The 17,535-nt window shown below is 49.0% G+C and overlaps 2 protein-coding genes across 13 annotated transcripts in view, besides 4 other annotated features; one reads left to right on the top strand and one right to left on the bottom strand.

Moving 5' to 3' along the window:
- The window catches only part of NRL (neural retina leucine zipper), a 36,288-nt gene that overhangs the window by 3,756 nt on the left and 14,997 nt on the right, over positions 1-17,535 (top strand). For 2 of the 6 annotated variants that reach the window (XM_011536806.3, XM_011536801.3), the window contains exon 1: positions 16,424-16,726. The exons of 3 other annotated variants lie outside the window; for them this stretch is intronic. In XM_011536806.3, the coding sequence (XP_011535108.2) occupies positions 16,448-16,726 (279 nt within the window). In that variant the 5' untranslated portion in view covers positions 16,424-16,447. Of the gene's footprint in view, positions 1-16,063; positions 16,157-16,423; positions 16,727-17,535 lie in introns of those variants that run through there. One more of the 6 variants, NM_001354769.1, reaches the window with a different exon arrangement.
- Positions 2,120-2,414: an enhancer, noted in NCBI's record as "tiled region #2696; HepG2 Activating DNase matched - State 5:Enh, and K562 Activating DNase unmatched - State 5:Enh". NCBI's record gives its function as "activates a minimal TATA promoter and a strong SV40 promoter by Sharpr-MPRA in HepG2 and K562 cells {active_cell/tissue: HepG2 | K562}" and the evidence as "EXISTENCE:reporter gene assay evidence [ECO:0000049][PMID:27701403]".
- PCK2 (phosphoenolpyruvate carboxykinase 2, mitochondrial) lies at positions 7,069-17,023 on the bottom strand. Of its 7 annotated transcripts, XM_047431429.1 has the most exons (11): positions 16,940-17,023; positions 16,349-16,428; positions 14,057-14,302; positions 12,807-12,991; positions 12,516-12,719; positions 11,958-12,145; positions 11,474-11,636; positions 10,981-11,199; positions 8,304-8,441; positions 7,939-8,034; positions 7,069-7,684 (listed from the first exon to the last, which is right to left on the bottom strand). In XM_047431429.1, exons 4-11 carry the CDS (start codon positions 12,862-12,864, stop codon positions 7,230-7,232), a joined length of 1,521 nt encoding a protein of 506 aa, XP_047287385.1. In that variant the 5' UTR covers positions 12,865-12,991; positions 14,057-14,302; positions 16,349-16,428; positions 16,940-17,023; the 3' UTR covers positions 7,069-7,229. The 7 variants fall into 7 exon arrangements, with proteins under 7 accessions (XP_047287385.1, XP_047287384.1, NP_001294983.1 ...); XM_047431428.1 differs by lacking the exon at positions 16,349-16,428; NM_001308054.2 differs by lacking the exon at positions 16,940-17,023 and having other exon boundaries at positions 16,349-16,883.
- Positions 16,211-16,860: an enhancer, noted in NCBI's record as "NANOG-H3K27ac-H3K4me1 hESC enhancer chr14:24563543-24564192 (GRCh37/hg19 assembly coordinates)". NCBI's record gives its function as "activates a minimal SCP1, AML or CMV promoter by ChIP-STARR-seq in naive H9 embryonic stem cells {active_cell/tissue: H9 hESC(naive)}" and the evidence as "EXISTENCE:reporter gene assay evidence [ECO:0000049][PMID:30033119]".
- Positions 16,488-16,557: an enhancer, noted in NCBI's record as "active region_8187". NCBI's record gives its function as "activates an Ori minimal core promoter by ATAC-STARR-seq in GM12878 lymphoblastoid cells {active_cell/tissue: GM12878}" and the evidence as "EXISTENCE:reporter gene assay evidence [ECO:0000049][PMID:35858748]".
- Positions 16,868-17,117: a silencer, noted in NCBI's record as "silent region_5622". NCBI's record gives its function as "represses an Ori minimal core promoter by ATAC-STARR-seq in GM12878 lymphoblastoid cells {active_cell/tissue: GM12878}" and the evidence as "EXISTENCE:reporter gene assay evidence [ECO:0000049][PMID:35858748]".

Below are 17,535 nucleotides of genomic sequence, written 5' to 3'. Positions count from 1 at the left end.
AGCCTGGGCAACATAGTGAGACCCAGTCTACAAAAAGAAAAAAAAAATAGCCGGCCATCGTGGCGCGTGCCTATGGTCCCAACTTACTTGGGAAGGATGAAGGAGGGAATCTTGAGCCTATGAGGTGGAGGCTGCAGTGAGCCATGATTGCTCCACTGTACTCCAGCCTGGGGATAGAGCTAAAGACTGTCTCTAAAAGAAAATCAACAAATGGCTCACTATTGTTCATTGTTTCAAATACAAACTTCCAAACCTGGATGTCTATTTTTAGTAACCTCATTTTTTGATATTTCTGCTAAGCAAATATGCCAATAAATAGCTTGTTTATTTTTACCTCTGCACCTTCCCAGGAGAATTTCTTATTAGAGGGAAGCTGTCTACAAAACTCCCTTCCTCACAGCCTTGCACTTTGACCCAGTAATACTGCTTCCAGAAATCTAGGCCGGACATGCATAAAAATTTATGTTCTACATAGCAATTATTGATAAAAGTGGAACACTGGAAACAAAGATCTAAATATCTTGCAATATGGGATTGTTAAATAAATTATGGTCCATGTAGTATAGACACAGAAATACCAGGTAGCTATTAAAATGGTGTTGTAGTCTTCAATTTTTTTTTAAGGTACCTATTCCTGGTATAGGTTTGTTGTAGCCTTCTATTTTTATACCATAGGAAATTGTGCAAACTACATTGTCAAGTTAAAAAAATAAAGATAATCATTTCTTCTGGTGACATGTAATAGATGCAAAAACGATGTGGTTTCATTTTTTCATTAGAAAGTATAATAGGCGTGGTAGCTCACACCTGTAATCCCAGTACTTTGAGAGGCTGAGGCGGGCAGCTCGCTTGACCACAGGAATTTGAGATCAGCCTGGGCAATGTGACGAAACCCCATCTCTACGAAAAATACAAAAACAAAATTGAGCTGGGCCTGTAGTCTTGGCTACCCAGGATGCTGAGGTGGAAGGATCACCTGAGTCTGGTCAAGGCTGCAGTGAGCCATGATTGCGCCACTGCACTTCATCCAGCCTGGGCGAGAATGAGACCCCGTCTCAAAGAAAAAAAAAAAAAGTATAATAATACCCAGCTCATTACATCATTAAACAAAGTGGGGAGGGCTTGCATGAACTGGTGACAAAGGTGTAGCTTCTACAAAGGATTATGATGAATACAGCTATAGCACCTGAGGTCCAGAAAAACGAACAAAAAACTTCTGTTAAACTTATCTCCTTAACAATTCATTTTTTGATTCTCTTTTCTCTTCTTCTTACAAATTAGTTTAAACCTGAATAAAATCTTTTAATTCAAGCTTTTGTAATATGGAACTTGTACATTATTGAGTAAAACATTTAAAAGTCATGGTAAATGTTAAAATAACTGAGGTTTTATGACAAAATTGAGTCCTTCACATCACATGGGAAAGAATATAAGATTAATCACTGGATTCATTGATTAATTTTTTTGCGTATAAAAGATTTTTTTTTTTTTTTTTTGAGATGGAGTCTTGCTCTGTCACCCAGGCTGGAGTGCAGTGGACCGATCTCGGCTCACTGCAAGCTCCGCCTCCCGGGTTCATGCTATTCTCCTGCCTCAGCCTCCCGAGTACCTGGGACTACAGGCGCCCGCCACCATGCCCGGCTAATTTTTTGTATTTTTCTTAGTAGAGACGGGGTTTCACCATGTTAGCCAGGATGGTCTCGATCTCCTGACCTCATGATCTGACCACCTAGGCCTCCCAAAGTGCTGGGATTACAGGTGTGAGCCACCACGCCTGGCAGCATATAAAAGATTTTTAAGCCTATGAACTTGATTATCTCACTATGACCTGTAATGTTTTTCAAAATGTGTAAGAGCATTTATATCTTAGGGTATACAGTGTGTCTATTGAAATAAATAAAATGGCATATCTTTAAAAATAATTATGGTGAAGTCATTTTGATAGACTAAATTTTGCCTATGCTGTCTTGATTTTGAAATTTGGTACGTTGCGTGGTTACAGTTTGTGAAGCACTTTTCATTTGGGTAACCTCTACTCTCTCCAGTTGCACTTAAAGTCACTTAAAGCCACAGAGAGGTTTTTCTACCTTCAGCACCCATTTTAGGACAATTTCTGGTAATTGCTAAGTAAATGTCAGCTAGTTGACTTCCTGCCTGACCTGTCTTGGCCTGTTTCCTGCTCATTAGCATCTCCACTAGAGGGCAGGCTGGGCTGCTGAGGAGAGAAGGAAAGGAGTGTTTTCATTCTCTAGCTAACCCTGTCCTCCTCTCCTCTACTGCAGCTCCCAGCTTGGTGACCACACAGAGCTCCTGGGACAGTTCCGTGTTTGGAGTGACTGATGCTCATACATGTGTTTGAACATTGCCTTATAGTATTCTCTGTGTCGATGGAAATGGAGAGTGTGCTAATAATTTACCTAGGGACTTAAAATGTGTTGACTAGAAAGCCACTAAGTAACTATGGGATGTTCTAATACTCTCATGTCTTGTGTCTGTAAGAATCAGATTTTTCTGTGTGTAGGGTAGGAGCTATAGATGTAATATAAGTAAATACCCTTTAGTGGCCCGGGGTAGTGGCTCACACCTGTAATCCCAGCACTTTGAGAGGCTGAGGCAGGTGGATTGCTTGAAACCAGGAGTTCAAGACCAGCCTGGGCAACATAGTGAGACCCCATCTCTAAAAAAAAAAAAAAAATTAGCCAGGTGTGGTGGCTTACACCTGTAGCTACTCGGGAGGCTGAGGCAAGAGGATCATTTGAGCCCAGGAATTCAAGGCTGCAGTGAGCTGTGATCACGCTACTGCATTACAGCCTGGGCAACAAAGCAAGACCATGTTTCCAGAAAACCCTTTAGCCCTGATTTTGAATAGAACATGTCAGTATGAGTTCATGAGGTTTTATCTTCTGTCGCTATCCACCAAAAAGATCTAGAAACAATGACCAATCCAGTATCAATGAACACTCCTAGCATCCAGATTGTGGTCTTAAAACGCCATTTCCCCCTGAAAGAAGCCAGAGCTTCTTAGAGAAAAAGCTGATTCCAGGTTTGGGGAAGGAAATGAACACAATGAGCATGGAGCAACTTATACCAGATAGCCGGGAAGCAAGGAGTATGTATCATGTCAAAAGGACTCAGCTCTTTTTGGCCTAGCTTCCATAGCCAAATGTGGGACAATTTGAACATTTAATAAGGTCAATTTAATAAACACTAAGTATGTTTAAATCCATGAGTTCATAATGTTTGTGTGTAACTAACTGGTTACCTTTTCAAAGGATAATAGGAAATCAAATCATTTTTTTGAAGATGATAAATAAAGATAAAGAATTAAGCAGTTATCCTGCTGTTTCTATATAAACAATACCATAGGGTAATGAAATAGAAGTGTCCATTTTATAAAATTATTGCAATGTTATGACAACTCAAATATGGCTGTTTTGCAATCCCTAGTGAGTTAATGCATTTAGACACTGAACATCTGAGTCTGGATTCGTCAATGGGTAAATTGAAGGAAAAGAAAGGAATGGAGGGGGAATCTGTAGACTGATAGAGACTTGAAAGACATATGAAAAAAATTTTAAATGGGAGCAAAGCTAAACTATAGTGTCTAAGGATCTACATTTAGGTGATCAAACTATAAAAAAATGCAAAGAAGTAATTATTACTCACCATAGTATCCACTATGGCAGGAAGGGGTGGCTATGATAGAGATGGGCAACAGGGTCGGGGCGGGGCGGGGCTGGGTTGGTGTCTGCAAAGTTCTGTTTCTTTCCCTGGGTAGTGTTCCAAAGGTGTTCACTTTATGATAGTTTATTCAGCCATAACTTTGTTTTAGATGGTCTTCTGTATCTGTGTTTTATTTTAAAATAAAAAGATTATAATGTGTTAACTATATTTTATCAGTTATCTGGAGCTGAAGGGCATGCAGCCCCATTTTATTCTAATTAATAAAAATAATTTTTAAGGCTAACACTTTCTTGTCCCTGTGCATTTAGAAGATACCAGAAAGGTGCCTGGAACCCCAGTTCCCTGCCTCTTAGCTGGAGGGATTTATTTTTAAATCTATTTTCTTTCTCTCCTAGATTTTATTTACATTGCTCATGTTCCTTTTAAACTGTAGAGTCAGCAATATGTAATATACGCTTACAGGGCCTACTCTAATCATTATAAAGTGGAAAGGTGATGATAGCTAACATGTATTAAATGGTTATTCGGTGCCAGGCATAGTTCTGAGTGCTTTATTCCACTGACTCTTTTAATCTTCCCAACAAGACTGTAAAGTGTAGGCATTTCCATTTTACAGATGAAGCAACTGAGAGGCACCTCTGGCTCAAGTCTACTATGTGTTTAATACCTGTGCTATGTTGCTTTTGACGGTATTCAGTTATCATATGCTATTTATGAAGCTAAGGATTTGGCTGTGTTTTATTATTATTTTTAAATTTTTAAATTTATTTATTTATTTATTTTTTTTTTGAGACAGAGTCTCACTCTGTCGCCTAGGCTGGAGTGCAGTGGTGTGATCTCAGCTCACTGCAACCTCAGCCTCCCAGTTTCAAGTGATTCTCCCGCCTCAGCTTCCTGAGTAGCTGGAATTACAGGCATGGGCCACCATGCCTGGCTAATTTTTGTATTTTTAGTAGAGATGGGGTTTCACCATGTTGGTCTAGCTGGTCTCAAACTGCTGACCTCAGGTGATCTGCCCACCTCGGCCTCCCAAAGTGTGAGCCACCGCGCCTGGCTGGCTGTGTTTTAAAGTACAATATACTCCACTGCTAACTTTGTTCTAACCTCTGTTCCACTCTGACCTTTAGATTTTTACACATTCTGGCTGGTCACTGGCATTTCCTATGAGAACACTTGGTGTTTCCTCTTCTAGTTTTTTCCTTTGAGGGAGTTCCCAATAATTCCATTTTATTTGTTGAAGTTTGTTCCCTTTTTCTGGGTAAAGACTACCACACTACCCACCTTAGGTTATACATTCTCTCAGCCTGATCCAGATTGCACAGAAGTTATCCTAAGCTGATGCCCCTGACTCATGTGAGATCATTGCACTGTTTTCCTGATTACTCTCCAAAGTTTATTTCAGATGAATTTAGGCTACTCTAAACTGTAGTTCGCAGACCGGCAGCATCAGCATTACCCAGGAGCTTGTAAGGAAAACAAAATCTTGAGGCTACTACAGACTTGCTGAGTGACAATCTGCATTTTAACAAGATCTCCAGGTGATTCAAAGGCACTTTTAAGTTTGAGAAACACGGAATAGGTGACTTTTTATTTTTTTATTTTTTTGAGACAGAGTCTTGCTCTGTCCCCCAGGCTGGAGTGCAATGGCATGATCTAGGCTTACTGCAACCTCTGCCTCCTGAGTTCAAGTGATTGTCCTAAATAGCTGGGATTACAGGCACCTGCCATCATGCCCAGCTAATTTTTGTATTTTTGTAGAGAAGGGGTTTCACCGTGTTGGCCACGCTGGTCTTGAACTCCCAACCTCAGGTGATCCGCCCTCCTTGGCCTCCCAAAGTGCTGGGATTATAGGCATGAGCCACTGCGCCCGGTGGAATAGGTGACTTCTAAGGTCCTTGCAGTTGTAGATGTCTATACTACTATGAAAGACATGTCTTTGCAGTTTTATCACTTTAACCCTTAGCTCTATTGTTTACTAACTGTGAAGCTTTGGACAAATTACTTGACCTCTCTGTGCCTTTGTTACTTCATCTGTAAAATGGTAATTCCCCCAAAGGGTTGTTAGGTATGTGCTTAGAACACTGCCTTGTTGGGAATAGGCCCCCAAAATCTGGCCATAAACTGGCCCCAAAACTGGCCATAAGCAAAATCTCTGCAGCACTGTGACATGTTTGTGATGGCCATGACACCCACACTGGAAGGTTGTGGGTTCACCGGAATGAGGGCAAGGAACACATGGCCCACCCTGGGCAGAAAACCGCTTAAAGGTATTCTTAAACCATAAACAATAGCATGAGCGATCTGTGCCTTAAGGACATGCTCCTGCTGCAGATAACCAGCCAGAGCCCATCTCTTCATTTTGGCCCATCCCTTTGTTTCCCGTAAGGAATACTTTTAGTTAATCTATAAAAACAATGCTTATCACTGACTTGCTGTCAATAAACACGTGGGTAAATCTCTGTTCGAGGCTGTCAGCTCTGAAGGCTGTGAGACCCCTGATTTCCCACTCCACACCTCTATATTTCTGTGTGCGTGTTTTTAATTCCTCTAGCACTGCTGGGTTAGGGTCTCCTTGACAGAGCTGGTCTCAGCAGTGCCTGGCATAAAGAAGGTGCCACAGAAGTGTTGTTAGCTGTCCTAATATTGAATATGCTTCCATGAATACTATGCAGCTCCCAGTGCCAGGTCAGGCAGGGGGAAGAACAAATTCGAGAACTGACAATGAAGCCACTTCACTGGAGAATGGAGTTGTAGAGGCTTCTGCAATCTAAGTGGGAGATCAGGAATTTTAGGCTTGGGGGCTGTACTGAGCAGCTTGCTGAGGCCCTCAGTTTTTTTTTTGTTTTGTTTTGTTTTGTTTTTTTTTTTTGTGACGGAGTTTCGCTCTGTTGCCCAGACTGGAGTGTGCAGTGGCACGACCTTGGTTTACTGCAACCTCTGCCTCCTGGGTTCACACCATTCTCCTGCCTCAGCTTCCCAAATAGCTAGGACTACAGGCGCCCGCCACCACTCCCGGTTAATTTTTTTTTTTTTTTTGTATTTTTAGTAGCGATAGGGTTTCACCGTGTTAGCCCGGATGGTCTCAATCCCCTGACCTCGTGATCTGTGCGCCTCAGCCTCCCAAAGTGCTGGGATTACAGGCGTGAACCACCACACCCAGCCTCACCATTTTTTTTTTTTTAAGAACTCAGGACATAGAGTGGATAGTGCCTTCTCCCAGCAATTCCTATGTCTGTGACCCAGTGCTAGAGCTACCTGTAAAACAGATCTTTGATTGTGCCAGGCTGTGCTTCTTCTAGGGGCTGGAAGAAGATGATTGTGAGACAGGTGTTAGAGGGAAGCCTGTGAAGATAGGTGGGAAATGAAAACAGCACAAATCTTGTGTAAAATAGATAAGCATCTCTTATTATTGGACAGTCTTTGTGGGAAGGTCTATGGCACATTGAAGATGTTAGTTAATATCAAATTGCTCATATTTTCTGCAAGGTGCCTTCCCTATTCCCAGATGAGGGTGCTATGTCCTCTTGCTAGACTAGGGCCTCAGGTCACATTTTGTGCACACGTCTCTCCAGGGCCTCAAGCTCAGCCAACACCTCTTTGGGCAGATCCTGGTTGACCTGCTCTGTCAGGTAGCTCCGAATGTCACGAACCTCCTGTTCCCAGAAGTCCTTGGGGAGGGAGAACAGCTGAGTGGTGTCTATAGCTCTGAGGCCGCTGAGATCCAAGGCTCCTTCCTTTGGCACCAGCCCAATGGGTGTCTCTCGGGCACTGTCCTCCCCCTCTAACCGCCGGCAGATCCAGTCTAGCACCCGAGCATTCTCCCCAAAGCCTGGCCACAGGAAGTGCCCTGCCTCGTCACGCCGGAACCAGTTGACATGGAAGATACGGGGCAGCTGGGCCCCCTTGCGCCCTTCCATGCTCAGCCAGTGTTCCAGGTAGTGCCCGAAGTTGTAGCCAAAAAAGGGCCGCATGGCAAATGGGTCGTGCATGATGATCTTCCCTGGGGGGGAAGCAAGATGGGTAAGGAATCTTCCTTCTCACTGGGGTAGGGAAGGGCACCCTGCATCCAGTTGGAGGAAGCTGTGAAAGGCTTATGGTTCTGAATATCTTCAGGGATGGGGAAAAGATAGAAGTGGGAAGAGGTGGGGCCATATCAGACTCCAGGGGTGGACAAAAGGAAGGTCTGGCTCAGGAAGGGAGAGAGGACGTGCTGTGTGCACACACAGGAGAGGGAGGAATGGTGAGGGTGCTCACCTTTGTGTTCTGCTGCAGCAGTGGACTCAGAGCGCATGGCGCTGCCCACAAACACCCCATGACGCCAGTTGAAGGCCTCGTATACCAGGGGTACCCCTAGATCACCAATGAACAGAGTCACAGGCAGCCCTTTTCTTTGGACCCTAACTCCAGCCCTTCTGGTGAGCTTGACTGGTACTCTCTCTCCTAAGACCTCGGCTATCCCATTTTCAGACCCTTTGCCTCCTCCCAAGTTTGCATTCACCAGGGGAGAACTCTGGAGAAAGGTGAGATCCAGGCTGAGGCTCTGGATCAGAGGGAGGGAGGTAGGCCCTAATACAGAGATAGCCCTTTTGCCAAGAACATGGAGCTCATATGTTGTTTACCTTTGGGTCTGCGGCCACCAAAGATGATGGCGTCAATGGGGACACCCTCTGGGGCCTCCCAGGCTGGGTCCATGATGGGGCACTGGCGAGCCGGGGCACAAAATCGAGAGTTGGGATGTGCACAGGGCTCCTTGTCACCTGGCAGAGGAAATACAAACACTATTATTTCCAAGGTCATGTCGACCCCCAACACACACATACATGGGCACACATTCTTGCAGGGTTCTTTTTTTTTTTTTGCCTCATCAGCTGCCTAGAACCTTGTGTGATAAGGAGCAGAGAGAGGGGAGCCAGGGCATCTCCAAGAGCTCAGGTTGTTTAGCCATGAAGGTGCGGCCAGCTGAGCTATGTGAGAAAAGAGTGGGAGAGGAATTGGGGTTTGGCAGGGCACTAATGTTTGTGCCAAGCTACTGGCACTTGGCACTGACCAGGGCTCAAGGGAATGGGGTTAGATATGGGCATAAGGTTATAATAATTTTTCCCCCAGAAACTATTTCATTATTTGTGAGATTATTATTTAAATGAATACCCAAACCTAAAGCAAAAACTGAGAATGTCAGCTTAGTACTTCAGACAATTGACTTTCCGTCAGCAAACCGGGGAAGACAGGTTCTCCTAAGTTATCCAAATGCAAATAGGAATTTATTTTATCTTTTTATTTTTGAGGCAGAGTCTTGCTCTGTTGCCCAGGCTGTAGTGCAGTGGTGCAATCTTGGCTTACTGCAACCTCCGCCTCCCAGGTTCAAACAATTCTCCTACCTCAGCCTCCCCAGTAGCTGGGATTACAGGCACCCACCACCATGCCTGGCTGATTTTTTTGTATTTTTAATAGAGATGGGGTTTCACCATGTTGGCCAGGCTGGTTTCAAACTCCTGACCTTAACTGATCTGCCCACCTTGGCCTCCCAAAGTAGTAGGATTACAGGCATGAGCCACTGCGCCTGGCCTGATTTTATTTACTTAATTAATTTAGTTATGAGACGGAGTCTCACTCTGTCACCAGGCTGGAGTGCAGTGGCATGATCTTGTCTCACTGCAACCTCTGCCTCCTGGGATCAAGCAATTTTCCTGCCTCCTGAGTAGCTGGGATTACAGGCATGAGCCACCATGCCTGGCTAATTTTTGTATTTTATTGGAGACGGGGTTTTGCCATGTTGCCAGGCTGGTCTCGAACTCCTGACCTCAGGTGATCCAACTGCCTCGGCCTCCCAAAGTGCTGGGATTACAGATGTGAGTCACTGTGCCCTGCAAGGAATTGATTTTAAAGCTAACAACATGTTGGTGATTTCCCTGCCCTGCTTAGACCCTGATGAAGTGATAGGGCTGGAAAAATAGAGATAGGGATATCACATGGGTAGGGATAACCTCAGGAGCCCAGGTCACACTTGGCACCTTCAGGTGTCCTGGAGGGGGGTTGGGACTAAGTCAGTGGCACATGTATGAAGCACCACTGTGTGGCCCCTGAGTGGACATGGTGCCTTCTCTGCTGGAGGTTGCTGGTCAGACCTGGGGAGTGGGGAAGCCACGGGGCCAAAATCCCCACCCTCTCCCATCCGCCAGCTTCTGCCCGCCATTGCAGATAAGAGCCATCCTTCTTCAGCACCCAGTGCAGAATCCTAACACAGGGTATTATTCTGGGAATTGAAGCTGGGGACAAGATGCCCTAGTTATGCCCCCAAATCTGGAGATGATGAAAGGGTTGGGGAACTAGCCTGTGGGGAAAGATGAAAGTTTCTTGGATTTCTCAGTTGGGTGGGAAGGCTGAGGGGGGCTTAATGATGGTGTTAGTAAAAATAAAGGGTGATTAGATGAAGCAAGGAGGGTGACTGCTAGGCCAGCCTGGCAAACCTGAATATAGGCTTCAGTGACTACAAGGCCAGCCTCCCCTCCCATGCTCTTCTTTGCCCCTGCCTCTTGGTGTCTGGACTGCCTGACTGCAGAAGGCCATGGAAAGAATACTGAAGGTCCAGAGTGCAGGGCTGAGGGAGAGGTGGGACTCCCAGGCGCCCAGGGTAATGACAGGATTCAGAAACTAGCTTCTGGGAAAGACTCAAGCACTGACCTGATTTTGTTTGTAGGAAGGATTGGGGTGAATGCTTTGGAGGGACAGGGGAAGGGTGACGGTAACAATACTGACCTTTAGACAGTGGTTATTATACAGGGGACAGTGGGAGCCAAGTGGCAGGAGGAGAGTTGGAGCAGAGGAGGCAGCTTTCCTCTTTTCCTAATGGGCCAAACTTTATGGATAGTGCTTGGAGCCCAATACCTTCTGTAAGAATGTTCAAAAGTCCTTCCTTTTCCTTTCATTAAAAAAAAATCCAGCCTGTATTTATTATTGAGAATTTACTGTGTATTTGTCAGTGTGATAAACCCTTTTTATGCACTATTTAATCCTCCAACAATCTCATGAGATAGGTACTATCACAACTACCCTCATTCAACTGATGTGGAAACTAAAGCTTAGGGAAGTTGAGCAACTTAGCCAGATCACAAAACCAGTGACTGGTGGAGTTGGGACATGAACTGAGATTTTGCCTGGGACTGGAAACTGCAAACGTTCATGACTTCTGTGCCTCCTGGCAGTCCTAGAAGATGGTTGGAGGTTGTGGAGAAAGCTTTTCCACCATTAAGGTGCTGAGGCCTGGAGGCTGTGCCACACCTTCCCCACCGCACATACCAGGTTTCCAGGGTTTGCCCAGCCAGGAGGTCACAGTAACACCAGGTGGAAGAGGCTGGTCAATGCCCTCCCAGTACACGCCACCATCACTGGTCTCAGCCACATTGGTAAAAATAGTGTTACTCTGGATTGTAGCCATGGCGTTGGGATTGGTGGTGGCAGAGGTACCAGGGGCAACCCCAAAGAAGCCGTTCTCAGGGTTGATGGCCCGGAGTCGACCTGTTAGGAGAAGTGAAAGAAAGGAAGGACCAAACAAGGAAAACTTGAGATGTAAGACCAAAGAAGGTCCTGCTCCACCCACCCCTGTCCTGAGATGGACCCAAGATCTGATGAGGAAAGGCTGTCTCTCGGGTGGCTGGGCTGCCAGAGGAATGGAGCAGGGTTGGGTGTTCAGGAAACTTTCTCACTGACAAAGTCATTGTGAACACTAGAGAGGAGACCCCGAGGCTCTGACAAGAGCCAGAACCAAGAGTATGATCTGAGAGTCCCTCACCTTCACTGTCAAACCTCATCCAAGCAATATCATCCCCCACACACTCCACTTTCCAGCCTGGCAGTGCAGGCCGCATCATAGCCAGGTTGGTCTTGCCACAGGCACTAGGGAAGGCGGCTGCCACATAGCGCTTCTTCCCTGCAGGGCTGGTGATGCCCAGGATCTGTGCATTGGGGAGAGAGGGAATAAGAAAGAGGTCACCAAAAGTCAGGGCATGGTCTGCATGGGGAAGGGCAGCTAGGGTCTAATAGGGAGGACCAATGTTTATTAACTATATAAGTGATTGCCCTGCCATCAGGCCTGGGTTAGTGGCAGGGGAAACCTCAACATTCAGCAGCCTGAGGCCAAAGCTTTGGGCCTTCAAGTAGAGTCCCCGCCCACCAGCCTGGCACCTGGCAGGAGGGAGGTGAGGCTGAGGCAGACTGGCCAGGCCCCACCCCTGCCCTGTCCCCGGCAGCTGCCCTGCTTCTCACCAGGCCCTCACCAGCATGTGCTCTGCCAGCCAGCCCTCATCCCGGGCCAGCCGAGAGGCGATGCGTAGGGCAAAGCACTTCTTGCCCAGCAGGGAGTTGCCACCATAGCCGCTGCCGAAGGAGATGATCTCCCGCTGGTCGGGCACGTGGCCAATCAGGGTTTTCTCTGGGTTGCACGGCCACTGGCTCACTGGCTCCCCTGGGGACAATGGGGTCATGGGGCTGCTGGCAGCAGCATCAGGAACTGGGGTGTCGGGGCCAGAGGGATCAGGGATTGGCAGGAGAGACACTTGGGAGCAGTAGCAGCACCAAGAGGTGGCTGAAGCCCCCCACCTCATAATAACCATCAGCTTCCATGCCCCTATTCTTGGACACGGATTTTTCTCAACCTAGTGCAAAGTGCTCTGCAAACACAGCCTTATCCCTCTGCTGGGACTGCTGCTCTGGATCTTGGGAATTAGGTTGCCAGAGAGGACAGGTTCTTAGGGTCTGTGGAGAGGTAGGATTTGGGATTTCCTCTGAGTACAAGAAGGCCTCTGTGTTCCCCTTGGGGCAGAGCAGGTGCTTACCTTGTCCTGTCAGGGGCTGGCCCACGGAGTGCAGACACTTGACAAAGTCACCATCTCCCAGGGCCTGAAGCACAGGTGTCCCCAGTCGGGTCATAATACGCATGCTTGCCACCACATAGGCTGAGTCAGTGAGCTGCACCCCGATGCGGGACAGCGGGGAGCCCACAGGACCCATGCTGAATGGAAGCACATACATGGTGCGGCCTGTGGAGGAAGGCATCCCCTGGATGAAGGGTTCCAAACCTGTTCACATCTTCCGTGCCCTTGCCACTGTGCCCCTGCCCTGGTTACCCTGCATGCAGCCTGGAAACCTCTCATCCACAGCTCGCTGGAAATCAGCTGGGGACATCCAGTTGCCCAGCTGCCCACGGGCCCCACCAGGCGGGAGTGGTACCGTGTCCCGCTGAGAAGGAGTTACAATCACCGTCTTGCTCTCTACTCGTGCCACATCCTTGGGGTCTGTGCGGGCCAGCCAGCTGGGGGAGAGGGGATTGTCAGGAAGATGGTGGCCAGCAGGTTTCCCTTGTCCCTAGACCCACTTTTTCAAGTCCAACTTTGACTCCAGGTCTTCTGTTGGCCTTATGTTTCCCCACCCAATCACATCTCAGTCCCTTCCTCCAGGCTTTGTCCCATCTAAGGGGTGTTCCCCAAGGTCCCAGCCCTCTGGGGGTCTCTGCCCCTGGCAAAAGCTCCCTGAACTGGTGAGGAAAAAAAAAAAAAGCAAAGGATCTTATTTATATCAGCTTCTTCATTTAACATTAAAATAAAATACAAACTACAAACTAGGCTGGGCGCAGTGGCTCATGCCTGTAATCCCAGCACTTTGGGAGGCTGAGGTGGGTGGATCACTTGAGGTTAGGAGTTTGAGACCAACCTGGCCAACATGGTGAAACCCTGTCTCTACTAAAAATACAAAAATCAGCTGGGTGTGGTGGCGCATGCTTGTAATCCCAGCTACTCCGGAGGCTGAGGCAGGAGAATTGCTTGAGACAATTCCCCGGAGGCAGAGGTTGTTGTGAGCTGAAATCATGCCACTGCACTCCAGCCTGGGTGATACAGTGAGACTCCATCTCAAAAAAAAAAAAAAATCCCAGTTTCTTTCTTTTTTTTTTTTGAGACAGAGTTTCGCTCTTATTGCCCAGGCTGGAGTGCAATGACGCGATCTTGGCTCACTGCAACCTCCGCCTCTTGGGTTTAAGTGATTCTCCTGCCTCACCCTCCCAAGTAGCTGGGATTACAGGCATGCGCTGCCATGCTGGGCTAATTTTTGTATTTTTTTTTTTTTTTTTCAGTAGAGACGGGGTTTCTCCATGTTGGTCAGGCTGGTCCCAAACTCCCGACACCTGGTGATCCACCCGCCTTGGCCTCTCAAAGTGCTGGGATTATAGGCGTAAGCAAATCCCAGTTTCTGGGTCTGTTTACCCCAAAGCTCTCATTCTTGTTCATTCCATTGGGATGTTCTAGTTAAGTTGATTTTGCCTTGGTGAACCCAAAGTGGCCTCAGTGCACCTATCCTGCAGGTTGTGGAGCCCAAGGCTTACCAGTTATTGTACTTGGGGAGCTTTCGGATGAGGCCCTGCTGCTCCAGCAGGGTCAGTGTGGCAGTATTCTCAGCCTCAGTTCCATCACAGATGTGGATGCCCTCTGGTTGGCACAGGCGGGCACTGTGCTCTACAAAATCTCGAATGCCAGTGGGAAGCTGGCCCAGATCTCCACTAAGCACTCGCAGGGTCTGGATGCTACGGCATGATGGCCAGCCCAAGGGGCTCAGCCCATGCCAGTTAAGCCTATAGGAGAAACAGAGGCAATGAGCTAGTTGCTGTCATCGAGAGTGGACAAGGCAGGTGGTGGAGAGACAGAAAGCTTGGGCTGCAGCCTGCTAAAACATGTCTGCATGCAGGGACCATGAAGAGCAGGTTGCAGTTGGTGTGTGGGATGTGTTCAGGACACATGTATCTTGTAGCCTTTATGAGGCTTGAGGAGGGTGTCTCCTGCTCAGCGAGGGACAGATATGGCCAAATGAGCAAAAAAGGCACATGCCTGGCTGTGTGGAAGTATACATGTAGGCATGCTGATGTTACTGCCTGTGTAGCCCATGCCCATGTTTAACTGTTTAATCAACGTTTAGAAATAAGTAGGGAGATGGCTGGGCACGGTGGCTCATGCCTGTAATCCCAGCACTTTGGGAGGCTGAGGCAGGTGGATCATGAGGTCAGGAGATCAAGACCATACTGGGCAACATGGTGAAACCCCATCTACTAAAAATATAAAAATTAGCCGGATGTGGTGGCGTGTGCCTCTAGTCCCAGCTACTCAGGAGGCTGAGGCAGGAGAATCGCTTGAACCCGGGAGGTGGAGGTTGCAGTGAGCCGAGATCGGGACACTGCACTCCAACCTGGGCGACAGAGCAAGACTCTGTCTCAAAAAAAAAAAAAAAAAAAAAAAAAAAAGAAATGAGTAGGGGCCTTTGGCCCAAGTGTCAAGACAAGAAGTTGGGCCCAGGTGACAATTTCATATGTCTGGTATTTGAAGCCTCATCCATTTTATTTCCATTTTCAAGTATAGTTTTTTATAAATTAAAATGGCAGCTGTGTTTATTCTTTCCTTCTGGTGTGTATGCTGTAAGACTATGAAAGCCCCAAGCAAAGGTCACAGTCTTTCCAGTGCCAGGTTTCTAGATGAGGGCTCTTGCACAGAGAATAGGTGACTGGATGCTGGGCTTCCAGGCCCTGATCTGCTGCTGCCCACTTGGACCAACAATGGTTGCATAAAATGTTGCCCTCGGGTAAGTATTTCTGAACTCTGCGGAAGGTTGACCACTGGGGAATGAGTGTCACTGGCTGGGGTTCATGGGCTTAATTCTCAGGAGGTCAGCGTCCTGTTGTCTGTCCTCTCATGGCCCTGGGAGACAGAGAAGCAACGTCTGCTCTGATTGGCCTGGACTCAAGGTGGAGTAAACCCGAGAGAGCAAAGACCATGAAGGGGATGTTACTCTCCTCCTCTATCAAGGCCTCGCCCATCAGAAACTGCCCCCACACCCAGGACCACGTGACCCCGTGCTTCCCCTGGCTCTTCTTCCTAGAGGCCACATGCCTAGAGAGCTTTGGTGTTGGTGGGAGGGTGGAACAGCAGCTTGCTGGCAGCTCAGACTCAGAGGGTGTTAGCCTGGGGAAGGAAGAAAGCTCAGAGCATGGATACGGGAGCTTGAGTCTGTCTGGGGTAGAAGCTGGGGTGGTTTCCGCTAAAGCAGGATAGATGATCAGTGTGGCCCCAGGGGCAGGGGAGGAGGGCTACTGGGACCTGGGTCTGTTCCTGCCTCAGAGGGAAGTTCTCCGTGAGCATCAGTTTTCAAGCACACAGTCTTGAGGACAGCCTCTCTCTCCCTGGAGCCTGGCTCACGTTATCTCTTGTGAAGCCCCCACACCCTCTTGCAGCCCTCTAAGTGGGACGTTTCCTTCAGAGACCACCCACAAGGGCTGCCCAAGTGGAACGGGCTGTGCGACAGATGTGGGTCACTTCCGACTCTGGGACAAAAGCTGAGAAGAGAGGCCTCAGAGAATAAATAGGAGACTAAGAGGACAGGCAGACAAACAGGACGAGCCTGGGGGCTCCAGGCCTGGACGGAGGAAGAAGCCAGCTATGTAAGAAACGAAGGCAACTTGGCGCCCTCCTCCCACCTTGCTTGCCTCCCTCCCCTGGGCCCAGGTCCCTCGGGCTGCTCTGGACTTCCCGCCAGGTTCCAGTCCTTCCAGTCCGGGAGAGGCCGGGAATGGATATTTAACCTTCCACCTTCTTTAGGGGGCTCTGAGCTTAGTCTCCCGGGGCTCACGTACCCTTGTCCCCAGGGCCCTGCTGCCTCTCGAAGTACCCTGGGGCGCTGGCTGAGAGCCCGTTAGAGGTCCGAGGGAGGTATCTGGGAAGGAAAGGAGGATATGCGGAGACCTGGCTCAGCAGAGAGGAGCGAGGAGAGAGAGGAAGTTCTGAGAGTGGCAGATAGAGATCGCGCGGTCAGAGGCGAGCGAGGCAGAGAAGGGGAGGTGCAGGCGGAAACGAGGAGCACCGGCCGGCTGCCCTCCCAAGAGACGCGCGGCGCGGGAGGCTGGACCCACAGCAGTCGCCCCTGCCCGCCTCCGCCTAGGATGGGAAACCTGGCGGAGGCTGAGAGCAGGAGAGCGCCACTGGCAGCCCCGAGGGGGCGAGCGCAGCGGAAGGTGCGGGTGGGCCCCGGGCCGGGGGTCACTCACCGCAGGCCAGGGCGGTACAATGCGGCCATGGCACCTGGGCAGGGGCTGCGGGGTGGCCAGGAACCGAGCGGAGCCGGGGAGGTATGGAAGGCGGGGAAGGAGGGAGCGCGGCGAAGCGAGCCACAGCAGAGGCTGGCGGGAGGCGCTTAAAAAGGAGGGGGGCAGGCGCGGGGGCGGAACCTGGTAGGGCTGGCACTAGCTTTCCTCCGCCCCGCTGGCAGGCCAGCTCCCTCGGCCCCGGGGCTCCAGGCTCCAGGTCAGCCCAGCCGCCGCCCCAACCCCTGCCTCCAAACCGCCAAACCCATCTCTCCCATTGGAGGACTGGGTCCACTCTTCGGCCCCCGACTTCGAGGCCCCGCCCCCCATCCGCCACCGCCCTCCCAGCCGCACATGATGTAACTTTGAGGACTCTTGCTCCCGGGAGAGACACTAGGTGGCAAACAAGCTAGGAACGAGGGGCGAGGCCAGGGGCGGGAGACTACAGGGGCCAGACGTCTAGAAGTTAGGGGGTTGGGCATTGCCTTTCCAGTTCCTCCTCCTGGGGACGCGACACCCTGAGTCCTGGGCCTTTCTGTAGTCCAAGTGCCCAATGCTAAGGTCCACTTAGTCCCCAACTCCTAAATCCCCGTTTCTCCTCCTGATCAAGGCTCCTTTCTGCCTTGCCATGAAATGGTGGAGTCTCTCTACCCCTGGGTCTCTTCCTTGGTCCTCTGATCTGGTCATTCTCCTCCCCCGGCACATCCCCTCTTCCCCTGACGGAGTCTTACTCTGTCACC

Source organism: Homo sapiens, chromosome 14 (assembly GCF_000001405.40).
Source record: "Homo sapiens chromosome 14, GRCh38.p14 Primary Assembly".
In the NCBI taxonomy this organism is placed as follows: Eukaryota; Metazoa; Chordata; class Mammalia; order Primates; family Hominidae; genus Homo; species Homo sapiens.
Note: the sequence above shows the minus strand (reverse complement) of the source record. Positions and strands in the feature narration are given on the sequence as shown.

What these genes read in the sequence shown, in the direction of transcription:
- PCK2 (NM_004563.4), bottom strand. Translation starts at nt 16,788, where the DNA reads ATGGCCGCATTGTACCGCCCTGGCCTGCG. An exon ending in CCAGCCCCTGACAGGACAAG is followed by an intron (nt 12,146 to 12,515) that starts GTAAGCACCTGC and finishes CATTGTCCCCAG; the next exon opens with GGGAGCCAGTGAGCCAGTGG. An exon ending in GGGCAAACCCTGGAAACCTG is followed by an intron (nt 8,442 to 10,980) that starts GTATGTGCGGTG and finishes TTCCTCTGCCAG; the next exon opens with GTGACAAGGAGCCCTGTGCA.